Raw genomic sequence first — 12878 nt, forward strand, 5'->3', positions numbered from 1 at the left:
CTCTAGGAATGGGACTTCCTGGAAGCCAGACTACAGTGCTCTTCTGGGTCTAGCCACCCAGTGGGCCTACCAGACTCTGGGCTGGTGCTAGGGAATGTCTGCAAGGGATCCAGTGGTGTTACCTGTCTTCAAGACTCCCAGCAGTGAATACCAGCACCATCTCTGACAGAAGTGGGAGGGGAGTGATGCAAACTCTGCAAGATTCCTTGGTTGTAGATAGACTTAGAGTATTGACTTTCTCAAATGCTGGTTATAATTATAGTGAACTTATCACGTGGACAGACGCAGGACTTCTGGTTAGCCAGGGTGTTGTAAGCAGTGGTGATAGCTGAGAATATGCAGCCGTTTTCTCCTTCCTGGGTACAGTGCTATTCTGCCTAGAGGTGAGTTTTTGCCTGTCTCACAGAGTAGGCTGCAGCCTGCCACTTCTTTCAAAAGTTCTGTGGATTCTTTCAGCTTTCCTGTTCAGTTCCTGCATTCGTTCCTGGAGAAAAAAAAATTATAGTGTGAATCTCTACACGCTATTCTGTCCTTCCAGATGGGAGAGGCATGCTAATGCTGCCTCCAATCTGTTGTCTTGGGGGGAAAGAAAGCAATTTGTTTTTGTTTTTTTTTTTAATGGATTTGCTGGGTTTAGTAACCCAGAGGTCATTGGGAACCTTGGCGAAAGTTATTTCAGTGGAGCAGTAGGAAGGAAGCCAGTTGCAGTGTCTTTGTTGAGCAGCAGAGGGGAGGTGAGGAAGTGGAGAGAGCAGCTGTGGTGGCTGAAGGGTGCTAGGACAGAGGGAGCATGATAAAGCCATAAGTAAGATGTGGTAGAAGGGAAAGAGCCAGGACAGAGGGGAGAGAAAGCAGGATCCTCAAGGACCAGAGAGGCAGTGGGTCCCACAGTCAGGTGCGGGGATTCAACAGAAACAGAAGGAGGGACGCTTCTCACTCTGACCCCGGAAAGAAGGAAGAAACTGCGTGCGAGTTCAGACAAGTCCGTTGGCGGGGGCTGGGATGCCTGCATCTTCCTTGTTAAAAAAGGAAGTGCAGGTTCAAAACATTCAGAGACAGAAGGTGGATAGACAAATCTCCACCTTCAGACTGGTAGGCTCCTCCAGAAGCCATCAGACAGGAAGATGTGAAAATCCCCAGCACTCATCCCAGAATCACTAAGTGGCACCTGTCCTGGGCCAAAGTCCCAGGACAGACCTCATTGTTCCTCTGTGGGAATACCTCCCCAGGAGGGCATCCTGGATTTCCCCCTTGCAACCCAGGTCAGAAGTTTCATCGTCAAGGTTGTTTCATCTTTTTTTTCCTGTCTAACAGCTCTGACTACCACCCAACCTTGAGGCACAGTGAAGACATCGGTGGCCACTCCAATAACAGCAGGTAGGTGACTTGTTCAGTCTGAGATGCTGGCAACATATTTCTAATGGAAGAGATCTGGAAACTTCAGCCTCCTCTGAGGCCCCTGAGAACTGGGGTGATGAAGTGTAGAAGCTTAGAGCTAAAGACAACTAAGTCTTCACCTAGACAGTGTTGCACAAAAGAATTTTCTGCAATAATAGAAATGTCCTAGACCTGCCCTGCCCAGTATGGTAGCCACTAGTCACACGTGGCCACGGAGCACTTGAAATGTGACTAGTGTGACTGCGGATCTCAATTTTTATTTCATTTTATTTTATTTTATTTTTTCTTTTTTGAGACAGGCTCTCACTCCAATGCCCAGGCTGGAGTGCTGTGGCATGATCTTGGCTCATTGCAACCTCAACCTACAGGTCTAGGTGATTCTCCCACCTCAGCCTCCCAAGTAGCTGCAGCTACAGGCATGTGCCGCTACACTCAGCTAATTTTTTGGGTTTTGTTTGTTTGTTTGTTTTGTTTTTGTTTTTGTAAAGACAGGGTTTCGTCATGTTGCCCAGGCTGATCTCAAACTCCTGGGCTCAAGCGATCCGCCCACCTCGGCCTCCCAAAGTGCTGGGATTACAGGCATGGGCCACCTTGCCTGGCCTTTATTTTAATTAATTTTAATTTAAATAGCTACACATGGCTAGTAGCTAGCATGCTGAACAGAATAGAATTAGAAGAAGCTCCCGTTTTCCAAAGGCACACAACAAGGCCCAGAAAGAATGACTTCTCCAAGCAGGATTAGAAGCCAGGTTTTTGTTTTGTTTTTGTTTGAGACAGGGTTTTGCTCTGTCGCCCAGGCTGGAATGCAATGGCACAATCTCGGCTCACTGCAACTTCTGCCTCCCGAGTTCAAGCAATTCTTATGCCTCAGCCTCTGGAGTAGCTGGGATTACAGGCGTGCGCTGCCACGCCTGGCTAATTTTTGCATTTTTAATAGAGGCGGGGTTTCACCATGTTGGCCAGGCTGTTCTGTAACTCCTGGCCTCGAGTGATCCACTCACCTCAGCCTCCCAAAGTGCTGGGATTACAGGCATGAGCCACCGCACCAGAAGCCAGTTTTTTAATTCACTCCACCCTGCATATAACCGCAGTGATCTCCATGGAAATGAAATTGACCTAAGGAGCATGAAGAAGGAGGCTGACTGGGAAATGTCAAATCTGGGCTCCCCTCTCTACATCCTTTGTATCTGACTTTCTGGGACACAGGGAGGTACCTAATGGAGCTCAGAAACTTTAGGCTGGGATCCTGCTCCTTATTACAGTGAACAGGAGATAGGATTTGAGAGCAGATTTTTAGAAGTTTTTTAAACTGAAAACCTAGTTCAGCTGTGTCACTCTAGGTATGTTGCTTAACCTCTCAGAGTCTTCATTTCCTCTTCCAGAAAGTGCCTGCTTCGTGAGGTTATCCTGAGGATTAATTGATACAAATTCTGGAAAGCACTTTGCCCAGAAGCTAGAACCTGGTAGACACTCAACATTACAGCTAATATGACAATTAATATCCAGGTCAAAGTAAATTAGATGTCATCAAAGTCAGCCTTGAAAGCAGACCCACTGCCGACTGCTTTCCCTTGACTGGGGATGTAGTGAGAGAGGCAGCATGTTATCAGTGAATAAACTATTCCAGTAATAATGATCACAACAATAAAGGTTAACATTGTACTTTATGTATGTTTTACGTGATTTACAAGCAATCCCTCATTTCATCCTCACCACAACCCCATGAGTTGGATTCTGTATTGGCCCCATTTTACAGATGAGTAAACTGAGACTCAGAAAGGAAAAGTCACTTGCCCAGAATTGCTCAGCTAGCCCTGGTGTCATCTGCCTCTCTCCATATGTAATAAGCCTCTATCTGGTTTTAGCATCAACTGGCCAGGTGGCATTGCATTCTTCCCCAGCTTGGGAAAGAGAGGTGACAAAGACTAAGAAACATTTGCTGAACAGTTGGACTCAAAGATTCTTTCTTTGGGGTAGGCAGGCAATTTAAGTGCGTCTGCCACAGGGATTGAGTCCCCTCTGGGCCCTGGGATGCATGGAGCAAGAGATAGGGTAAGGAATAATGGAGGGGATTGAGGTGTTGTTCACTGGGGTGGGCACTTGTGAGACAGCAGAATTAGTGTTCATGGCTCTGCCTGGATTAATTCATTCATTTGTAATCAATAGCAAATTGATAAAATACATTCTTAGGGTCACTTAACATTGTTTTTAAAAATGCATTTGGACTTTGGTGGAATCTTCCCTTTTACCAAAAGGCTTTCTTTCCAAATTAGAGGGTCTTGGCTCCAAGGGTGGTAAGCTGCTGCAGAGTTGGTGTCCTCAGACCCAATGCCAAGTGTGCGAAACAAGAAAGAATATCAATACCCAGAGATGGACTTGTGGTCAGAGCAGATGGTTGGGGAGTGAGGGGAAAGACAAGAGGCAGGAGTGGGGCCAAGAAGTAGAGGCATCAGGTCCAGGGAGGAACGCCACCAGACTCACCAGAAGCTTTAGTCCATCTCTGTCATTTTAATGCACTGCTCCCTTTGACATGTGAAAGACATTGAAGGCTATAGTACTGCCAATGGTATGATGGGGAAGCCTGAGGCAGCTGGAATGCCAGGAGACTCAGACAAGGCAGCTGAAGGAGCCAGCGGCTCTGAGATACAGCAAAGATGAAAGAAATCCATGCAATCCTGGGCAAGCCATTTCCTTTGGGCTTCAGTTTCCCCATCTGTAAAATGGAAAGACTAGGTAGAAAACCCCTCAGGTCCCTTCCCAATATAAACTCTACGAGTCTATGAAATGACTATGCATCCGAGAGCTGATCTGGGAACTAATTATTCAAAGTTATCAAAATCACCCGCACCCTCAGGAGCTCCACCCCTGAATTGCATTGAGCAATCTAATCTACCACTCACTTCCTCCACTGTGTTCTCACCACCACCTCCCTTTCATAGGTCACAGCTGCTCTTCTGGAGGTGTCCTACAGGTGAAAAGCCCAGCGACCCAGTAAGTCTTGGAACACCCACCCTTCCCACCAGCTAGAATGTCTCTGTTCTCTGTTTCCCTTGATACCCAGCCTACATTTATCCTAAGCATCTCTCCCCACCCTTGGTGGGCCCCTCACCCTCACCCCTTGGCCTCTTCATTTTCTCCCTTTGGGGCTCTCCATCCCCAAAGGAAGAACTTCTGTTCCTCCTCCCTCACAACCCTCTCCAACCACTCAGGGCCACTTGCTGCCCATGCTTTTCCCTTGGCCTGGCAGCCTTCCAAGACTCAGCCAGCCCTCCTGGCCTGGGCTAGGACTGGGTCTGAGGATGGGCCGAACACTGTTCGCTTCCCACTTCCCGACACTAAATGCAATATTTGTGGATTATATTTATAGAGAGAAAGAATACTGGAACTGTACTAAAATGACTCTTTTGTTGTTAAAAAGATTGCCTTAGATGTTTGAGATCTTGTAAATGTCTCTCGTTCTATAGCATTTTCATGTAATAAATTAGAATTCATGCCATCATCTATGGAGTTTCCAAACTACCATGAGTCACTAAGGGGCTGGCATTTTCCCTAAGTCAAGGAAGCTCCCTTTTTATCCTGGAATATATGACTGTGTGGTCAGCCGGACCCAGCCAGTTCAAGGGTGTTTGGTTTATCATCCCTGCAAGAGCTGTTTCTTTCATTCTGGGCCAAAGAAACGGCAAAAGAAAACAATGCATAAAACATGAAAGAATGTGAGTGGACCATATACAGGTTGATTTAATGATATCTCAAGAACTTAGCTTTGCTGGGCACGGTGGCTTACACCTGTAATCTCAGCACTTTGGGAGGCTAAGGTGGGCGGATCACCTGAGGTCAGGAGTTCGAGACCAGCCCGACCAACATAGTGAAACCCCGTCTCTACTAAAATACAAAAATTGGCCGGGTGCAGTGGCAGGCGCCTGTAATCTCAGCTACTTGGGAAGCTGAGGCAGGAGAATCACTTGAACCCGGGAGGTGGAGGTTGCAGTGAGCCGAGATCACGCCATTGCACTCCAGCCTGGCAACAGAGCGAGACTGCATCAAAAAAAGAAAAAAAGAAAGAAAAAGAGAACTTAGCTTACAAATATGTTTAATAGATGAGGTGCACTTTTTTTAAGAGGAAGGGCTATAGACTACAAATAAGGCAAGTGTAGTCCTTTATACCTCACTGGAACAGTGGTTTCACCACTTCTCCACCCTGTGATCGCAGGCTGGTTACTGAGCCTCCCTGTTAGGTCAGCTGATCCTCCTTGTGCCTCAGTCTTCTAGAAACAGGGCCTAATTGTATCTATTTGTAATGAGCCATGGAGATCATGTACCTGTGAGGCACAAAGCAGACCTCAGATGTGTCATCTCCTTCCCTTAGTTTGTCCCTCTAACTGCCAAGTCATCCTCTGTAGAGATTGGTAAACTAAAAAACAACACCAACAACAAACACCCCTCTCCCTACCCTAGGAGCTGGAGGTCACTGGCCTGACCTGGTTCTCCTTGCTGAGTTCTCTACCTTCTGTCCTGACTTGCATGCTCTCCCTCTGGAACCTGAAGCTGACCCATAATGCCTGGGAGCATGAGCTCACCCATACACCTCCAGCCCACCCCCAGCACAGCTGAGCACTGGATTATCCACAGTGAGGATTTACCTGTGAAACATGCTCTGCCACTGCTGCCTGTGCTGACATGGCAGTTTCTGCAGCAGCCTCAGTCCTGGCTTCTCACAGCCAATATTCATACATACAAGGCCCTGCTCTCTAAGAGCACAAGCTCTCTGCACCCAATATGCCCTACATCTACTCTCAAAGATGGGTCTTCTGTTGGGTCATTTGTTCCCTTAAGAGCATCTGTAATCATCTGCTCCCAGAAGTGATCCACCCTTGACCTCTTGACTTCATTGGACATACCCTGGGCCTCTCAGCAAACTTGCTCTCAACCATGGGACTGAGGAGCTGGTGACTTCTTTCAGGTCTTGCTGACCATACTGGTCCAGCAAGCTGTATTCCCAGCCCTCTCAATACCTCCCCAGCCTTCTGGCCAGGCAGGGCCAGAAATGAGGGATTGCTTATAAATTACGTAAGACATACATAAAGTACAATGTTAACTTTTTTTTTTTTTTTTTTGAGACGGAGTCTCCTCTGTCGCCCAGGCTGGAGTGCAGTGGCGCCATCTCGGCTCACTGCAAGCTTCGCTTCCCGGGTTCACACCGTTCTCCTGCCTCAGCCTCCCGAGTAGCTGGGACCACAGGCGCCCGCCACCACGCCCAGCTAATTTTTTGTATTTTTAGTAGAGACGGGGTTTCACTGCATTAGCCAGGATGGTCTCGATCTCCTGACCTCATGATCCGCCCATCTCGGCCTCCCAAAGTGCTGGGAGCCACCACGCCCGGCCCAAATGTTAACTTTTATTGTTGTGATCTAGTATAGTACATTACAACTGATTGAATCTTCTCCATCAGTTGCCTCGGCATGCTGGGAAGGCAATGTATCTGGCCCCTAACTCTTAAAAGAGAAACTAAAAACTTGTCAGGAAGGTGATGGCTAAGAATTCCATCACTCTTGGGGGAAAAGTGGCATTATTTTTCCAGTTTTGCTTAATCTTCTTCAGCTTTCTTCTTTGCTACATATGATTGATGACAACAGAGACTTCCTTTCTGCTAAAAAGAAATCCTCCCTGGGACTTTTGTTGTTATTTTTGTAATATTTGTATTTGCTTTGCAAGGCCGTGTACCCTTTGATTAATCTTTTTTTTAATTAAGACATAAGTCACATACCCCAAAAGTCACCCATTTAAAGTTTTTAGCATATTCTACAACCATTGCCACTAATTCCAGAACACTTTTATCACTCAAAAGAAAAACTCCGTAGTCATTAACATTCCTCTCCCAGCTCCCCTTGACCCTGGAAACCACCAATCTACTTTCTGTCTCTACCAATTCTACCCATTTGCCTATTTTGGTCATTTCACATATATGGAATCACACAATAAGAAAACTTTTGTGTCTGCCTTTTTTCACCTAGACTAACATTTTCAAGGTTCATCCATGTTGTATTGTGTATCAGTACCTCATTCCTTCTCATGGCTGAATAATATTCTGTTGTACATAATACAGTCATAAGTTGCTTAACAATGCGGATGCATTCTGAGAAATATGTCATGTGAACATGGTAGAGTATACGATGCTATAGCCTACTACACACATGGGCTATATGGTAGAGTACTGCTCCTAGGCTACAAACCTACTCAGCATGTTACTGTACTAAATACTGTAGGTAATTATAACACAATGGTATTCTTATATATAAACATAGGAAAAGAACACTAAAAATACAGTATTATAATCTTATGGGACCACTGTGGTATTTGTGATGTGTCATTGACCAAAAAGTCTTTCAGTTGCTCATGACTGTTCCTCAATTTGTCTGTCCGTTCATCAGTTGATGGATATTTGGTTTGTTTCCACTTTTTGGCCTTAATGATGAATGCTACTATGAACATTAGCTTTCAATTCTCTTGGGTGTATACCTAGGTTGGGGTTTGCTGGTTCATGTGGTAACTCTATGTTTAACTTTTTTGAGCAACTGCTAAGCTGTTTTCCAAAGCAGCTGCACCATCTTACATTCCCACCTGCAATGTGGGAGAGTTCTGACTTTTCCACTTCCTCACCCACATTGTTCTTGGGCATCTTTTTCTGAGTGTGCCCAGCCTGGTGAGTGTGAAGTGGGTTCTGGGACCTTTAACTTCCTGGTTTTTCTCTCACACTGGGTTCCATTTTGGGGGTAGATTACGGACTTGGACATGGTTGGTGGTAGGGTGGTCATCCCTTACTCTAAGGCAATGGCCGGAGGGTGATCTATTTTGTGGTTCAGAAAGAAGCTAATTAGGGAGCTGGATTGCTTTAGTTGACTGCTTTGAGAAACTGGGATTTTTTTTTTTTTTTTTTTTTTTTTTTGAGGCAGAGTCTCGCTCTGTTGCCCAGGCTGGAGTGCAGTGATGTGATTTCGGCTCACTGCAACCTCCACCTCCTGGGTTCAAGCAATTCTTGTGCCTCAGCCTCCCAAGTAGCTGGGATTACAGGTGCACGTCACCATACCTGGCTAATTTTTGTATTATTAGTAGAGACAGTGTTTCACCATGTTAGCCAGGCTGCTCTCAAACTCCTGACCTCAAGTGATCTGCCACCTCAGCCTCCCAAAGTGCTGGGATTACAGGTGTGAGCCACCACTGGGATAATATTTTTGAATAACTGCAGCCCACCCTCCACACCCAGGCTTCCCCAGAGCAGGATCTGTGCTGTCCCTGTGGCAAGGGCAGAGCCCCAGGAGCTAGACTAAATCTGAGAGGAACAGGGGAGTCAAGGCTAGATGGAGGCACACACATGCAGGACAGGAAGGGTCTCCAGCAGGGCTGGAAAGCCACCAAGCAAGGGTAGTGCAAACCCTGTCTTCTCTGCTTCCTGCTGCCCCTCTCTTATTGGGTAGCAGACTGGCTGTGTCTGCTTATCCCGCATGGTGGCACATGGCTGCCCAGAGCTCCCCAAATAACCTGTTACGTTTCCACCCACAGGGAGAATCAGGCAGCCCGCTTGCTTATTGTTTTTAATATACTTTTCCAAACTACACAGACATTCCCAAAGCGGGTCTCCTTCTACCCAAAAGAGAAACGCTGGGCCTTACTAATTAACTGAAGACTCTGCTAGCTCGAGCCTTCCAAAACTCCATGCCACAATTGTTCAAACCATTTTCCAGAATACATCTTTTAAAATAACTTTTAGAAAATTGAACAAAGGGATTCATGTCTCAGCTTTATAGTCAAACCATGATCTTTTCTGAGGGTATAGCCCATTTGGAGTTCCTGCTTAATCCCCTGATTAAAAACTGAATGGGGCTGAGTGCAGTGGCTCATGCCTATATTCCCAGCACTTTGGGAGACAGAGGCAGGAGAATTACTTAAGGTCAGGAGTTTAAGACCATCCTGAGCAACATAACAAGTCCCCATCTCTAAGACAAAAAAAAAAGAACTGAGTGACATCTCACATCTCACATTTCTGAACATTAAACCCAGCCTTGATAGCCAAAGATGCTCGCCACTGAAGGATCCAGGTAGTATTGAGGGTTCTGTGGGGATTATCCAAAGAGAACTTTCTACAAAGTTTTAGGTGATGGCGATGCTAAAAGAAATGCTAAGAATTTCTCTCTTATATTAAAGAGAACTATGGTCCTCTCATAAAATGTACCATTTATCACCAAATTTATCTCATAACCTAAGAGCTACCACTTACAAATTTGAAGGGAAAAATTACTACATTGTAATACTCAAGCCAACACAAAGAATCCTATCCCAGTTTCTTGAGTGGATGGGCAAGAATATGGGGAATTTATTATGCAGTAACCTTCATCTCTCTTCTATAGGTCAGGATTTAAGTTTACCTCAAAAATGGAAGATTTTAACATGGAGAGTGACAGCTTTGAAGATTTCTGGAAAGGTGAAGATCTTAGTAATTACAGTTACAGCTCTACCCTGCCCCCTTTTCTACTAGATGCCGCCCCATGTGAACCAGAATCCCTGGAAATCAACAAGTATTTTGTGGTCATTATCTATGCCCTGGTATTCCTGCTGAGCCTGCTGGGAAACTCCCTCGTGATGCTGGTCATCTTATACAGCAGGGTCGGCCGCTCCGTCACTGATGTCTACCTGCTGAACCTAGCCTTGGCCGACCTACTCTTTGCCCTGACCTTGCCCATCTGGGCCGCCTCCAAGGTGAATGGCTGGATTTTTGGCACATTCCTGTGCAAGGTGGTCTCACTCCTGAAGGAAGTCAACTTCTATAGTGGCATCCTGCTACTGGCCTGCATCAGTGTGGACCGTTACCTGGCCATTGTCCATGCCACACGCACACTGACCCAGAAGCGCTACTTGGTCAAATTCATATGTCTCAGCATCTGGGGTCTGTCCTTGCTCCTGGCCCTGCCTGTCTTACTTTTCCGAAGGACCGTCTACTCATCCAATGTTAGCCCAGCCTGCTATGAGGACATGGGCAACAATACAGCAAACTGGCGGATGCTGTTACGGATCCTGCCCCAGTCCTTTGGCTTCATCGTGCCACTGCTGATCATGCTGTTCTGCTACGGATTCACCCTGCGTACGCTGTTTAAGGCCCACATGGGGCAGAAGCACCGGGCCATGCGGGTCATCTTTGCTGTCGTCCTCATCTTCCTGCTCTGCTGGCTGCCCTACAACCTGGTCCTGCTGGCAGACACCCTCATGAGGACCCAGGTGATCCAGGAGACCTGTGAGCGCCGCAATCACATCGACCGGGCTCTGGATGCCACCGAGATTCTGGGCATCCTTCACAGCTGCCTCAACCCCCTCATCTACGCCTTCATTGGCCAGAAGTTTCGCCATGGACTCCTCAAGATTCTAGCTATACATGGCTTGATCAGCAAGGACTCCCTGCCCAAAGACAGCAGGCCTTCCTTTGTTGGCTCTTCTTCAGGGCACACTTCCACTACTCTCTAAGACCTCCTGCCTAAGTGCAGCCCCGTGGGGTTCCTCCCTTCTCTTCACAGTCACATTCCAAGCCTCATGTCCACTGGTTCTTCTTGGTCTCAGTGTCAATGCAGCCCCCATTGTGGTCACAGGAAGTAGAGGAGGCCACGTTCTTACTAGTTTCCCTTGCATGGTTTAGAAAGCTTGCCCTGGTGCCTCACCCCTTGCCATAATTACTATGTCATTTGCTGGAGCTCTGCCCATCCTGCCCCTGAGCCCATGGCACTCTATGTTCTAAGAAGTGAAAATCTACACTCCAGTGAGACAGCTCTGCATACTCATTAGGATGGCTAGTATCAAAAGAAAGAAAATCAGGCTGGCCAACGGGGTGAAACCCTGTCTCTACTAAAAATACAAAAAAAAAAAAAAATTAGCCGGGCGTGGTGGTGAGTGCCTGTAATCACAGCTACTTGGGAGGCTGAGATGGGAGAATCACTTGAACCCGGGAGGCAGAGGTTGCAGTGAGCCGAGATTGTGCCCCTGCACTCCAGCCTGAGCGACAGTGAGACTCTGTCTCAGTCCATGAAGATGTAGAGGAGAAACTGGAACTCTCGAGCGTTGCTGGGGGGGATTGTAAAATGGTGTGACCACTGCAGAAGACAGTATGGCAGCTTTCCTCAAAACTTCAGACATAGAATTAACACATGATCCTGCAATTCCACTTATAGGAATTGACCCACAAGAAATGAAAGCAGGGACTTGAACCCATATTTGTACACCAATATTCATAGCAGCTTATTCACAAGACCCAAAAGGCAGAAGCAACCCAAATGTTCATCAATGAATGAATGAATGGCTAAGCAAAATGTGATATGTACCTAACGAAGTATCCTTCAGCCTGAAAGAGGAATGAAGTACTCATACATGTTACAACACGGACGAACCTTGAAAACTTTATGCTAAGTGAAATAAGCCAGACATCAACAGATAAATAGTTTATGATTCCACCTACATGAGGTACTGAGAGTGAACAAATTTACAGAGACAGAAAGCAGAACAGTGATTACCAGGGACTGAGGGGAGGGGAGCATGGGAAGTGACGGTTTAATGGGCACAGGGTTTATGTTTAGGATGTTGAAAAAGTTCTGCAGATAAACAGTAGTGATAGTTGTACCGCAATGTGACTTAATGCCACTAAATTGACACTTAAAAATGGTTTAAATGGTCAATTTTGTTATGTATATTTTATATCAATTTAAAAAAAAACCTGAGCCCCAAAAGGTATTTTAATCACCAAGGCTGATTAAACCAAGGCTAGAACCACCTGCCTATATTTTTTGTTAAATGATTTCATTCAATATCTTTTTTTTAATAAACCATTTTTACTTGGGTGTTTATATTACTGCTTCCAAATTGCTACAGAGTGGTGGGGCAAGGGTGAGTGGAGGTCTTGGGTGAGAGTCTTTACAAGAAGTAAATCTCTTTGTTATTTGCTGTGTCATAGAGAAAAGGATGGAATAGAGATGGAGCCCAGCCTTGCCATCCCCTCACCCCCAACCCAAGCTTCCTGCTGTAGACCACACATCATGGAAAGAAATGCATTCTGGGATGCTCTAGGGCGTCTCGTGTCGTTGGGTGAGGCAGTAGTCAGGAGTGTCAGGGGTGAGACTTAGAGTTAGAAGGTGCAGAGGGTTGAGTAAGTTTACCAAATCCCCCTGATCAGGTAGCAGGAAGGCAGAGAGCTCTCCCAGCTCAACCAGCAGCACCCACTGTGAGTGCCCTATCCTCTTCCCTCTCTTCCACCCAAACACACACCCATCATTCCAGGTTTGACAGGACAGCCCAAATGCAGAATGGGGAAGTGGTTTATAATCTGTCATTAGGAGAAAACAAAAGATTCGAATCATGCCTCCAACAGCATGGAGTGCTGACTGTTCGGAGAGTGGGGGGATACAGCAGAGACCACGACAGACAGTGCCTTGCCCTGGGGGAGCTCACAT

The 12878-nt window shown here is 46.4% G+C and overlaps 1 protein-coding gene across 9 annotated transcripts; it reads left to right on the forward strand.

Moving 5' to 3' along the window:
* On the forward strand, positions 318-12275 carry CXCR2 (C-X-C motif chemokine receptor 2). Of its 9 annotated transcripts, none has more exons than NM_001168298.2 (4): positions 318-383; positions 1315-1377; positions 4338-4389; positions 9801-12275. In NM_001168298.2, exon 4 carries the CDS (start codon positions 9826-9828, stop codon positions 10906-10908), a length of 1083 nt encoding a protein of 360 aa, NP_001161770.1. In that variant the 5' UTR covers positions 318-383; positions 1315-1377; positions 4338-4389; positions 9801-9825; the 3' UTR covers positions 10909-12275. The 9 variants fall into 9 exon arrangements, with proteins under 9 accessions (NP_001161770.1, XP_047300146.1, XP_047300145.1 ...); XM_047444189.1 differs by lacking the exon at positions 318-383 and adding an exon at positions 701-895; XM_047444187.1 differs by lacking the exon at positions 318-383 and adding an exon at positions 701-805.

This window comes from Homo sapiens, chromosome 2, assembly GCF_000001405.40.
Source record: "Homo sapiens chromosome 2, GRCh38.p14 Primary Assembly".
NCBI classification, from domain to species: Eukaryota; Metazoa; Chordata; class Mammalia; order Primates; family Hominidae; genus Homo; species Homo sapiens.

Bases quoted from the DNA above. Each gene is read 5' to 3' on its own strand.
- CXCR2 (NM_001168298.2), top strand. From the start codon at position 9,826: ATGGAAGATTTTAACATGGAGAGTGACAGCTTTGAAGATTTCTGGAAA.